Here is a 13,650-nt window from a genome sequence, read left to right as displayed (position 1 = left end):
AATTTCCTCAAAGCTTTTTCTACCTGTAAGTATCCAAGTTACTCTCTGTGGGCCAAAGCAGAAGTCAAAAAATCAGACACTGAATAGTTTGATGAGATGAAGAGACACAGAAAACCCACCAGCCAAAAACAACCCTAACAAATGGAGAGGAATTTCTCAGTAATGCACAGAAACTCTTGAGAAAGGGATAGATAGGGGTGGGATTCTGAAAAGTTTCCAGGAAGAGATGATACATTAGCCACCGGTTCATTATTATACTCAATTAAGATGTATAAAATGTGATTTAACATTATAGTTAGTGTGCTATTTTAAAAATCAGCTTAAAAATATTTGTAAGCTTTTTTTCGGAGGCTTACCTGCAACTCGAATGCCCATCCTTAGCTCTTGTGTTTCTCACACCTTATCAAGATCTGGTCAAGGGCCCCAAAGAAACTAAGGGGAAGGGCCTGATGTGGGCTTATTTTCTGCCAATTCAGATACTTTCCTGTATCAACATATAGGTAGTAGTCTGGTATCTCATATAGCTGAATGGTAATGAGATACTAGCTTTTTACTGAGAAGTGACTTCTTAATTTTAGTGATGAACTTTGTCATCTTCACATCTCCTTGAATAACAACTTTATGGTTAAACAAAACTAGTTTTTCTCTAATTCTCAGTTGCTCCTGAGAGCAAGCCAAGAACATCCAGACAGAACCAGATCTGTCTATATTAATAATACGTTTACTTCCTGTATCATTATTTTAGATTCCAATAATTTTATTCTTTATTTTTTTCACTCCCCTCTCCCTGTCCCAAATATTATACATTTTTAAACTGTTAAGTATGTATTGCAGTCGTCTCCACTGTACGCCCTTTGCTGTTCCAGAGCTTTAAGTGATGTCCAGGTCAACACTACTTACGCCACCGCTGCAGCTCTTTGGATAAACAGAGACAAATGTAAGGATCCGAGAGGCCACTTCCAATGACTGTTACTATCTTTTGCCTCTACAGATCATTCTCTTTTTGTTTTATAAGTTTAGAAATAGAGTATTAAGCACAATGAGAAGTTTGTTTCACTTTCTTCAGTCTCTGTTCATTAATGTCAGGTATCAAACAATCCCTTTCAGACTGGTAAAACTTTAAGAAAAGCCCTTTTCTCTGTGGGAGAAATGACTCTTGGTTTTGGGCCTCTCCATTTATGCAGGACGATCAGAAAGGCACTTCTTTTCCTCACCCATGGCCAGGTGTCTGATACAAGAGATGGCGGCGAGGCCATCCCAGCCAGCATGCAGGAGTGCTGCCGCCTTGTTCCTGCTGTCGGACCTACCCGCTACTCACTAGGCACTGATTTCATCAAACGAATCCCAATTAGCATCAAATTGTGATTTTTTTTTTTCTTAAGAAGTCCAGTGTGTGAATTATGCTGGCCTTCAGAATTCATCGTTATCTTGTACTTTTACACCTGAAGTTTTCATCTGAAAGTGGGCTTTTTGTTTTAATTGTACAAAAATACTGGTGGTTTTTTTTTTTTTTTTTTTTTTTTGAGATGCAGTTTCACTTGTTGCCCAGGCTGGAGTAGTGGCGCGATCTCGGCTCACTGCAACCTCTGCCTCCTGGGTTCTAGCAATTCTCCTGCCTCAGCCTCCCGAGTAGCTGGGACTACAGGCGCCCGCCACCACGCCCAGCTAATCTTTGTATTTTTAGTAGAGACAGGGTTTCACCACGTTGGGCAGGCTGGTCTTGAACTCATGACCTCAGGTGATCTGCCAGCCTCGGCCTCCCAAAGTGCTGGGATTACAGGCGTGAGCCACCGCGCCCGGCCCCAAAATACTGGTTTTTGATTGTACAAAAACCAGCACAAAAATTTAATTATACAAAAATGCTGATATTTTTGATACCCACTCATCTTTTTAACTAGAAGGATTTTTTTAATAATACAATAAGAAATGAACAAACACATCTTGAATTAAGATAAATGAAATTAAGGTATTTTCCTTCTGGTTAAGACTTAGTGCAAGCTGAAACTTGGAGAATGGCACTTTGTTTTTTAAGTGTTCAAAGTAGATTAACTGAGATAGCAATAAGACTTAGACACATTGGTAAGTGACAGCTGTATTCTATTCCTCCTTCTCTCTTTTGTGGTGTAAAGGTGTTTGGTTTCAATGCCAAAAAGGTGCTCTTAGGCACCAAGGAAAAGCACCTTCCATTGGAGCAGGGTAACAGTTCTTAGGTACCTGACCTTTTAGCAGGGAAGGGAAAAAAGCTACAAAGGCTGAGTGCGGTGGCTCATGCCTGTAATTCCAGCACTTTGGGAGGCCGAGGCAGGAGAATCATGAGGTCAGGAGTTCGAGACTAGCCTGGCCAATATGGTGAAAACCCTGTCTCTACTAAAAATACAAAAACAAAGTTAGCCAGGCATGGTGACACACACCTGTAGTCCCAGCTACTCAGGAGGCTGAGGCAGAAGAATCACTTGAACCTAGGAGGCAGAGGTTACAGTGAGCTGAGATCATGCCACTGCACTCTAGCCTGGGTGGGAAAAAAAAAAAAAAAAGACAACATGAAATGGAGGACAAGGGCAATTATGTAAATTCTAGTCAAATCTTATACAGGCCATTACAACCAAGCCTCTAATAAAACCCCGGAGCCTGCCAGGTGCAGTGGCTTATGCCTGTAATCTTAGCACTTTGGGAGGCTGAGGTGGGCGGATCACCTGAGGTCGGCAGTTCGAGACCAGCCTGACCCACATGGAGAAACCCCGTCTCTACTAAAAATACAAAATTAGCCGGGCATGGTGGTGCATGCCTATAATCCCAGCTACTCGAGAGGCTGAGGCAGGAGAATCACTTGAACCCAGGAGGCAGAGGTTGCAGTGAGCTGAGATCGTGCCATTGCACTCCAGCCTGGGCAACAAGAGCAAAACTGTATCTCAAAAAAATAAAACCCAGAAACCCCAGGCAATAGCTCATTCACCAGGGCATGCCAGATACTGTAAAGCTGTAAAAAAAAAAAAAAAAAAAAAAAATTCAGAGAATCCCTTGGAGGTCCACATAACGGAATGGGACCTGTTATTTAGGCTAGAAATATAGAAAGACTTACTCAGACGTCTGAAACTCCAGCTACAACACAGGACGAAGTATCCTGTGAAGAGCATCGTGATGCCACCGAATCCACTCTTCCTTATGGTGGTGTTGCACCTGATCCAGCCTGTTCAAAAGGAAACACGGCTTGTTGTTACAGCAACTGAAACTAGGGCCAGTATCCGCGAGTCATTCAAGTTTTCCCAGTTAGCCTGAGTGATGGAACTGTAATTCAGAGATTTACACGCACATATTTTAAACACATAAAGGCTAACATCAAAGAACCTTAACTTGACTAGATTCAAATTAGTTACTCTTGTTTTGGGTGCTTGGTTAAAATCTTTAGTGGGAGGAGGCTAATACAACTGGTTAACTTGAGGTTTAGAGTTTTTCTGGCTTTGGGAGGAGGCACAATCAATGTGGGCAAGGGAAAGTTGGGGGTAGGTATTAAAAAATACAAGCTGTTGAATAAATGGTAGCTGTTATTAGCTTTGGTGCTTTCAATTATGTCCAACTCCAAAATGAACACAGACAAATGGAAAACTAGGAAGACAACACACATTTTAACATTTTTTTCCTCTCCTCTTTAGCCTTGCTTAACAGCCCGAAGAGAAACTTTTCCAAATGCCCAGAACCTGCAACAGAAGACAACAGTCAAACTCCAGCCTCACCTTTTTGTACAGCTCCCAAGAGCCTCATTAGAGAGAAGTTGGAGGTTGTAAGTCCGGCAGGGGGTTCCAAACTCCTTATATGAGTTGAGCTTCGTTCCAACAAAGAAACTATGGTTCCAAACAGAAGTCACTGTCATTGTTTACCGAAACGTACCCCCTTCCCTAACATCCAGTGCCGAAGGATCCACGGCTAAGCCTCAGGAAGAGCATATTCTAAACAGGTGCATTAAAGATTTCTGCATTGGACTGCAGCTAAGTGTTGAAAGTCAAATCAATTACAGGTTGAAAAAATGTTTTTCAAAAGGCCAAGGGACCCCTGAAAATCAGGGCGTCTACTTGTTTTTTGGTCTGCTGAGTACCCTGGCCAGGTGATTGATGCGCATGTGCTTCATGAAGTGAGTCTCTTACATCATCTTTTTGTTTTTGACACAGTCTCACTCTCTCGCCCAGGCTGGAGTGCAGTGGCATGATCTTGGCTCACTGCAACCTCTACCTCCTGGGTTCGAGTGATTCTCCTGCCTCAGCCTCCCGAGTAGCTGGGATTACAGGCACACGCCATCACGCCAGGCTAATTTTTGTTATTTAGTAGAGACGGGGTTTCGCCACTTTGGCCAGGCTGGTCTTGAACTCCTGACCTCATGTGTTCTGCCCGCCCCAGCCTCCCAAACTGCTGGGATTATAGGCATGAACCACTGCGCCTGGCCTCTTTTACATATTCTATCATCTGCTAAACATGTCAGCTAAAAGCGTGACTTTCTCCTTTTATGATTGTGACTTGCCCACAGTCAACATGCCTGTTCTATCACCCTATCGCTATTATTGGCCAGCAAACATTTCCTATTTATGTTCAGTGCATGAATAACTTAAGCAGAACCAGAAAAGAGGGCTTATGCAGGCCGGGCGCGGTGGCTCACGCCTGTAATCCCAGCACTTTGGGAGGCTGAGGTGGGTGGATCACGACGTCAGGAGATTGAGACCATCCTGGCTAACACTGTAAAACCCCGTCTCTACTAAAAAACAGAAAAAATTAGCCGGGCGTGGTGGCGGGCGCTTGTAGTCCCAGCTACACGGGAGACTGAGGCAGGAGAATGGCGTGAACCCAGGAGGCGGAGCTTGCAGTGAGCAGAGATCGCTACACTGCACTCCAGCCTGGGCAACAGAGCAAGACTCTGCCTCAAAAACAAAAAAAAGAGGGCTTATGCTCCTTAATCACATTTCTCCTGTACATGGTTTTCTCCATGTTTTATGACAGGTAATCTCTACTACTGATAGTTCTCTAGTCTTGGTTTGGTTCATCAAGATAAAGAAGAAATTAAACACCGACAACAGGTTTAGCAAGTGTGGTAAAAGTTGCTGTGGATGTAAAAATATCCAAATGATCATTAAAGAACAATGAAAAGAATCATGCTGGCTTCCAAGAAATTGCACAGAAGATAATTCTCTTGCAAGGTGAAGGTTAGTCTCTTAAAAAAAAAACCCATTCATCTTGGAAAAAATTTGAGGAAAACGGTGTAAAGAGACAACTTCCTGAAAATTGCAACCATGTTGTCAGCAGTGTCAGGATCACGTGGCTCCCTGACCTTGCCCTGCTTTCTCCAGTCAGGTGAGCCTACTGTCCTGACCTGCAGTTAATTCAGTAACTGTTAGCTCACTGGCCCTGCCTTTTAAGTACCAAAGGAATGAGTTGGCTTCCTGAGAAGGGCAAATGACCTATCAAAGGTCTTGCCTGAGTGAGAAAAGGTATAGCCCATTCTCTTGTGCAAAGATTCCAATAAAACTCTAATTTGCAGTCATTGGAGACAGTCATTGCCTGGTGAAATTACAAAGCTTTTTAAGGAGCCAATGGCACCATCTTTTAATCCCTATAGATTGATATGGCCTTGAAGTCCTTGGCCAATGGAGGGATCAGGGCTTGACCTGATCCTAGGGTCTCTCTCCTCTAGTATCTTGTGTTCATTTGGTGGTAACATCAAAGTCTGAACACTGATCCTGGATCCAACTTCAATAGTTTTTCAGTTTATAATAGAAGTAGAGGCCCTATGATGATTACACCTTATTTACTGTCTTGATGTAGAAGTCCCAAACTAAGTACAACATTTATTAGTTACAGACTATGAGCAATAAAAGGGATTAAAATAGTTTCTCACCACTATTTGGAAGGAACTTGTTACTGAAGAAAAAATTCTATTTTCCCTCCTATATCCTGTCTCATAACCTTGGTAATTTAATGTTTTAAGTTACTGTATCTTATTATTGTATTCTTAGGAGCTAACAGTGAAATGTATCAATAACATATCAAACAAGGTATTGACTTCTATCTGTGGTCTTTAAACTCTACTTGAGGCTTACTGTTTGGGAGAGTTAGTAGTTAATACCTCCAGGTTCACCTGACTCTTCTATCTGTGGTCTTTAAACTCAACTTGAGGTTCACTGTTTGGAATAGTTAGTAGAGTCAGACGAACCTGGGTTTGAATCCTGATTCTGTCACTTACTGCATGAACATAGGGAAGTCACTTAATGTCTGAAGCTCAGGCCAGGCCTGGTGGCTCACACCTGTAATCCCAGCACTTTGGGAGGCCAAGGCGGGAGGATCACCTGAGGTCAGGAGTTCGAGACCAGCCTGGCCAACATGGCAAAACCCCATCTCTACTTAAAAAAAAAAAAAATTAGCTGGGCGTGGTGGCAGGCACCTGTAATCCCAGCTACTCTGGAGCCTGAAGCAGGAGAATCGCTTGAACCTGGGAGGTGGAGGTTGCAGTGAGCCGTGATTGTGCCATTGCACTCCAGCCTGGGAGACAGAGCAAGACTCTGTCTCAAGAAAAAAAAAAAAAGATGTCTGAAGCTCAGATTCCTCAAGAGGAATAAGAGGGTGGGACAGTGGTGTCACTCAGAGCTGTTATGAGGATTAAATGACATAATGTATCTAGCATAACGATAGTCATAGTCATCACAGATAAACGTCAGGTCCCTCACTTTTTCCTCTAAAATGAAAAGTGTGTATCAAGGACACTCCTAAGCACTATAAAATGTAGTACAGAAAATACACAAGTCCTTCAATTTGGTAGAGAGATTTATCATGGGGGGAGTGTGTGCATCTGCAACTGAAAAACACAGAAGGCTGGACACGGTGGTTCACACCTGTAATCCCAGCACTTTGGGAGGTTGAGGCGGGCAGATCACCTGAGGTCACGAGTTCAAGACCAGCCTGACCAACACGGAGAAACCCCATCTCTACTAAAAATACAAAATTAGCCGGGCGTGGTGGCGCATACCTGTATCCCAGCTACTTGGGAGGCTGAGGCAGGAGAATCGCTTGAACCCAGGAGGCAGAGGTGAGCCAAGATCACACCACTGCACTCCAACCTGGGCAATGAGCAAAACTCTGTCTCAAAAAACAAACAAACAAAAAAACAAAACACACACACACACAGAAAAGTATGGCACTATAACAAACATGGTTTTAGTTATGGTGTATTTTCTACAACATGGTTTAGTGGAAAAGATTAAACTAGGCCTCAGGAAACTAGGTTCTCCTTGCAGCTCTACTATTTATTGGCAACACAAACTTGGACAAATCACTTATGCTCTCTGTGCCTGTTTCATCATCCACAAAATAGGATAAATTCACTCTGCCCACCTCTCTGTCCACCTTGTGCCCAAAATAAAAAAAATACAGATGGAGGCACTCTGAAAACCACAAAGCAACACAAATGTTAATATAATTAAATGTGTTTATTACGGAGAAGGGGCTTGACTTTGTGACTACAACTTTGTGCAAAAAGGTCTAGACGTTAGGCCTGTTTATAGAAGGTAGTTAAAGAAAATGTAGCTTTGGGCTAGCAATGTTCTGCTTTTAGTACACATCCATTTTGAGACCAGGCAAATAGAGGTTTAGTGAATATGAGATCATTTGCAAAATCTACCAGAGAAGAAAATGATTTCCCTTTAGGAAGAGATAATACCAGTTTTTCTCTTGCAAACCTATTCTGAGTTGTTACAGGTCTCCTGTCAAAATAAGCATGAAAGCACCAATGGCCACTACACACGACAGGTATGCTACTTTACAAACGACAGGTATGCTACTTTACAATCACCCTGCCCCTAGAAAAGCTTAAGAAACTTTATGTATTTTAACTAGAGAGGTGGTCTCATAACTAAAGATGAGATTCAGCAGAGAAAAGCAAAGATATTTCAAATGACTGTCAGGAACTTCCTGGCTCCTTGGGCCTTGGTCTTCCCTCCTGTTAACCGATTCCAGCCATCAGCAAAAGGAGCCTCTAGGAAGCTTCTGAAGTTTGATTCATAATCAAGGTGAGTTTCAACGTTCAGTCTTTCGCCCCAAGCCCTTCTCGCCTCATCTCTCCTGTTTCCAGGCTCAATCACTGGTTTTATTCTTGGGTCCTAGTCTCTGTGGCCTACATTTTTTCTTTTGTTTTTGGCCACATCCTCCGTTTCTGGTCCTTGATCTTCACTGTTCATTTCCTGAGCCTCCACTTCCACTTATCTGCCTTGCCTGCCCGTCTTACCTGGCTAGTTTTACCTGTGTCCTACCACCTGCATCCTACTTTGCTACTCTAAATTCCTAGATGTTGCATTTGCCTGAAACCTAGAACCTATTTCTTGTCCTGTAAACTTAGAACCTATTTCTTGTACAACCTGGTCCTGACTGGATTCTGAACACAGTGCTTATTCTATCTAGCTGAATTTCAAGTCTTTATATTTTTCTCCAGTCTGTTTACCCATCCAGTTTCTACTGGACATGCCTCTTCTCAAGGCAGAAACTCAACTGCTTTCAGTATCGCCAGCCTGCCCTAGTGTAACCCTCAACTCTTGGGGGAGAGAAAAAGAGAGGGATAAACCACCACTACTGACCACTGAAGCAAGAAGTAATGTTTTCAGGACAATTTTTTTTTTTTGAGACAGGGTCTCATTCCCGTCGCCCAGGCTGCAGTGAAGTGGCACATACTCGGCTCACTGCAGCCCTGATTTTCCGGGATCAGGTGATCTCCCACTTTAGCCTCTCAAATAGCTGGGACTACAGGTGCGCCACCACACCCAGCTAATTTTTTGTATCCTTAGTAGAGATGGGGTTTCACCATGTTGCCCAGGCTGGTCTTAACTCCTGAATTCAAGTGATCCACCTGCCTTGGCCTCAGCCTCCCAAAGTGCTTAGATTACAGGTGTGAGCCACTACACCCAGCCTCTTTCAGGACAACTTTATATGCAGTCTACTGGCATGCCTAGGTGAAAATAAACTAAATGACTGAAAATGTTAGTATTTTGACCCTTATAAATTCAAAAGGCAGAGAGAGCATTTTGGATGGGACAGATGGCAATTGAAAATAAGCTTGTTTACCTTGTGAGAGTCTTTCCCCCTGGGGACTGATAAGTTGTGGCTTCTGGGTCATTGCATTCCAACACTGAGGCTTCCCTGGCAACACCCCTAGTCCAAGGTAACCAGGATAGAGCTCTGGAAACCACTCCAGCCCCATGCAGCTGCGAAGAGTCTTCCTGCCAGCAGCTGCAGCATGATTGGTGAAGGGGCTCTGAGGAGTGTGACGCTGGGCTGAACATAAAGGGCTCTGGCACCCAGTGTGTGATGCTTGGAACTGACTATCAGATTTGGGCTCCAGAGATAACTGTCCCTCGGGACTCTCCATTAATGCCTTTACATCAGGGACACAATGATGATTCTGGGCTTCTGCTTTCTTTTCTTGAAGAAATGTTGTAGCTAGAGAGGCAAGACTTTGACTACTTGACTGCGATACAGAATGAAACTGGTAAGTCGTCTCCCTCGGAATGAACAAACTTAAATGTGGTCTTTCCCCTTGAGACTCCTTTCCTGTGACTGAATCCCTGGTGTTGAAGTTCTCACAGCCATGGCTCATGACAGTCCGTTCCTGCTTTTCTGTTGCAGACATACTTTTCTCTGCATTTCCTTTGCTCCCACACGTCTCTACTCCCAGGGTAAGTCCTTTCTCTTGTTTCTCCATGACTTGGATTTTACCTAATGAGCTCATTTTAAGGCTTAAAATGAGGGATTCTGTGTTCTTTTCTGGAGTCTCAGTAACTGTAACATCAGTAGGGACTCCTGAGAGGTGATCCCTGCCTTTGGAATCTCTCTCATTGCTTAATAATGTTCTTACCCTTTTAACCCCATCACTGACATTCTTTGGAGAAATATGACAATCACCAGTAGGCACATCTAGTAATTTTACTAGAAGTTCCTGTCTTTGGGGATCAATTTTGTCCAATTTGAGATCACCAGAGGTAGTTTGTACATCATTAGGTAGAGTTGAGGAATATTTTCTATCTTGATTTGACAAAGAAGGTTCTATTGAGCCAACCAGTAAAGACGCTCCAGCTTCTGAAGGATTACATCGACTTTCTCCTGATTTAGGCAAATCTTTGGCAAGTTCTCTTTTAGGAGAGGTTTTCTCTGATGCGTAAAACTGAGCCTTGGTTTCTTCTTGGAAAGTAGTCATTGGTTTAGTATTTTTTAACATTTTGAAGGATGGTTGGATTGGATTCTTGATGTCTTTATCTGCCTTTGTAGTAGCTGCTCTTTCCAAACCAACAGCTGGCAGTGGAAAGGTCTTCACTGTCTGTTCTGGTTTGTCCACCACCAACTTAGAATTTCTTTCTTCATTCTCTGTCTCTAACTCTTTCCCTTTAGCTTTAATTAAATCTTTGATTGGTCCTTTCATCTTTTTAGCACGTGGGAGTGTAGCTGGCTTGGACTGATAAACTTTTTGATCAGTAGGTATGGTTGGTCCTATCATCTTACAGTATGGCAAGTGGGATTTTAATCGTTTAAATGGCTTCTTACAGTAAGGACACACTTCCATTCTGGGTGGATTATCACTCATCCTATTCCTGAAAAAGGTAAATGTGAGATTATGAGAAGCACATAGTTTGTACATACCAATATTTTACTTATGTGTTGTATCTTTTAAATTCATTTGGAACAAGCTAGATGTTTGCTACTTACGGTTACAGCAAGTCAACTAGTCATTATATGAGTATAAAAAATTGTTTAAAAACCCTTAAACACGTTATTCAAGGACAGAATGGTAAAGAATAAAAAACTTAGGCCAGGAACCAAAGGTTATTTATTTATTTATTTATTTTGGAAACAGAGTCTCACTCTGTCACCCAGGCTGGAGTGCAGTGGCACAATATCTGCTCACTGCAAACTCCGCCTCCCAGGTTCAAGCAATTCTCGTCTCAGCCTCCCAAGTAGTTGGGACTACAGGGGCATGCCACCACGCCTGACTAATTTTTTGTATTTTAGTAAAGACGGGGTTTCACCGTGTCCGTGTTACCCAGACTGGTCTCGAACTCCTGAGCTCTGGCAATCCACCCACCTCAGCCCCCTAAAGTGCTGAGATTACAGGCGCGAGCTACCACGCCCACGCCCAGCCAAAGGTTACTGATTACAGCAGAGGTTTCCAAAGTGATAAATAGAATATGCACTAGGGTGTAAGAAGAAAATATTAGAATTACCACAATCAAAGAATGAGAAATGAAGCTCTACTAACATTTAGTAATATGCATATACACACACACACACACACAGATATACATAAAATGTATGCATAATGCACAAATATATACATGGCCAAGGACACAGTCCTGTTTTTCACTTATACTTTTTTTTTTTTTTTTTTGAGACAGAGTCTCACTCTGTCACCAGGCCGGAGTGCAGTGTCGGCTCACTGAAACCTCCATTTCCCAGGTTCAAGCTATTGTCCTGCCTCAGCATCCCGAGGAGCTGGGACTACAGGCATGCGCCACCACGCCAGGCTAATTTTTGTATTTTTAGTAGAGACGGGGTTTCACCATGTTGGCCAGGATGGTCTCAATCTCCTGACTTCGTGATCTGCCCGCCTTCGGCCTTCCAGTGTGCTGGGATTACAGGCGTGAGACACCACGCCTGGCCTACTTATAGTTTCTAGTACAACAGATTACTGGCAAATTAGTTTGACATCTTTGTTAAACATATACGATGTAAAAAATTAAAAAAAAAACATTTATACCATGTATATTTGTACCTGTTATTCTTTAGAGTCCAGAAAAGAAAATGTTTAATTCCAATGTTTAGTTGAAAGTTATTTCCTTTCTACATCTCTTATTCTTTCTATAAAGTTCCAGAGGGCAGGAAACATATCTATCCTGCACACAGCTGTATGTAAAAACCTAGCACTGAGCCTGGCATACAATATTTGTTCACTTAATTCTTTAGATATAAACGTTTAAATATTATTCAGTACTACAACTGATAATATCTTCTGACTACCAAAGAGATTAAAAAGGGTGACTGAAACCACTTACAAAATAGACACAATCTTCACCAATCCATTCAATAAAGCAACCAACCCACCTTATCCTGTACGAAGTCCTTCAAAACAAAACTGTTTTCTGCCAACAGATTACAGTAATCATTTTTACTTTGTTGTTGTTTGGTCTTTTTTTTTTTGAGATGGAGTCTTGCTCTATCACTCAGGCTGGAGTGCAGTGGCGCGATCTCGGCTCACAGCAACCTCAGCCTCCCAGGTTCAAACGGTTCTCCTGCCTCAGCCTCCCGCGTGGCTGGGATTACTGGGATTAAGGGCGTGCGCCACCACGCCCAGCTAATTTTAGTATTTTTAGTAGAGACGGGGTTTCACCATGTTGGCCAGGCTGGTCTTGAACTCCTGACCTCAGGTGATCCACCCGCCTCGGCCTCCCAAAGTGCTGGGACTACAGGCGTGAGCCACCGCGCCCAGCCTGCTGGGATTACAGGCGTGAGCCATCATTCTTTCTTTCTTTGGAGGTACACACTAACAGGATGAAAGCCACAGACTGTTTGTTTACAATAATACACACAAATGAAGCCAGTCCATGGACCTTCGGCTAACAACGTTAGGAAGGGCTTGACACCTGCTAGACGTTTCTGCCTCCACTCCACCTCACACTCAACCCTACTTGAAAGATCCCGGTACATTCCCACGATAACGTCTATACGTGGGTGTCTGTTTTCTTACCCGAGCTCCTCCAGGAGGATGCTAGTTTTGTGGGTGCTTCTCCCGGATCCCCATGCTTCCCCGATCACCGTTCCCGAGTGTGGCAGAATGAAACGTGAATGTCAGCCTGTGTAGGACACGATCAGACAGGTGACTTGGCAGCATGCACAGTGAGTAAACGCGGCACGATACTGAACCAAATAGAAACACAGGTTCCGGAAAGCAGAGAGTTAAGACCTCCCCAGCCTCCGGGCTCAAGGAGGACCTCAATAGTTCCACTAATCCTCACCCTCACCTCCGGCGCTCTCCAGCCGCCTTTCCCTCCTCCCGCTGCGTTACCAGCCTGCCCACCTCCCCGCACCCTTCCTTTCCCTGAAAGCTGTTCTGATTCTGCCAGCTGTTCTGATTCTGCGGAGTGGATGGGGTCGGCCCGGCAGCTCCTGGGTCAGGGACAGCCGTTCCCGCAGCCCCACCGAGGATTTCCTCCTGCGGTTCCAGGAAGACCCTCCGCCGGCCCCGGCACCCGATTCCCTACCCTCTCCGCTCAGGAGAGTCTCCCCCAGACTTAGAACGTGGGCCGCGGAAAACAAACCCGCCCTTGCAAGCTCCCCACAGAGCACCGTCCTCACCTCGGAAGACCTGAAAGCCCAGGCGGCCCCGGCGACAAGCCCCCCAGGGAAGCCCCCCAGGCCCCTGCCCAACCCCCGGCCAAGGAACCTCGTCAGGCCGTCTGCACCACTGCCGGATAGGTCCGCCTGTTTTAAAATATGTTACACGGATTCAACTCAAATACTTGTATGATATTATTATGACATAATTGAATTTATTTGAAACCTGGCTTGACTTTTATACCGTACCCTCCGTTGGCTGTGAACAGGCGAGCGCTTCTGCCACCCCAGGGGAGGTCCTTTCTC

General features: G+C 44.0%; 2 protein-coding genes across 16 annotated transcripts in view; one reads left to right on the top strand and one right to left on the bottom strand.

The window, feature by feature from the left end:
• Positions 1-3,982, top strand: part of CPSF4L (cleavage and polyadenylation specific factor 4 like) — a 21,678-nt gene extending 17,696 nt beyond the window's left edge. The window contains exon 6 of the mRNA XM_011525115.3: positions 3,651-3,982. Coding sequence (XP_011523417.1) covers positions 3,651-3,660 — 10 coding nt within the window. The 3' untranslated portion in view covers positions 3,661-3,982. The remainder of the gene's footprint in view (positions 1-3,650) is intronic.
• The window catches only part of MTNAP1 (mitochondrial nucleoid associated protein 1), a 16,527-nt gene extending 2,877 nt beyond the window's left edge, over positions 1-13,650 (bottom strand). Inside the window, exons 1-6 of one of the 15 annotated variants that reach the window (NM_001386978.1) lie at positions 13,594-13,650; positions 12,758-12,863; positions 9,088-10,607; positions 3,732-3,839; positions 3,080-3,187; positions 737-915 (exon numbers count right to left, since the gene is read on the bottom strand). In NM_001386978.1, coding sequence (NP_001373907.1) covers positions 893-915; positions 3,080-3,187; positions 3,732-3,839; positions 9,088-10,600 — 1,752 coding nt within the window. In that variant the 5' untranslated portion in view covers positions 10,601-10,607; positions 12,758-12,863; positions 13,594-13,650 and the 3' untranslated portion in view covers positions 737-892. Of the gene's footprint in view, positions 1-736; positions 916-3,079; positions 3,188-3,731; positions 3,840-7,444; positions 10,608-12,114; positions 12,627-12,757; positions 12,928-13,365; positions 13,423-13,453 lie in introns of those variants that run through there. The other 14 variants (NM_001100622.4, XM_011524961.2, NM_001351264.2 and 11 more) reach the window with 14 other exon arrangements.

This window comes from Homo sapiens, chromosome 17 (genome assembly GCF_000001405.40).
Source record: "Homo sapiens chromosome 17, GRCh38.p14 Primary Assembly".
NCBI lineage: Eukaryota > Metazoa > Chordata > Mammalia > Primates > Hominidae > Homo > Homo sapiens.
The sequence above is the reverse complement of the archived record's forward strand: the minus strand, read 5'-3'. Positions and strand labels throughout refer to the sequence as shown.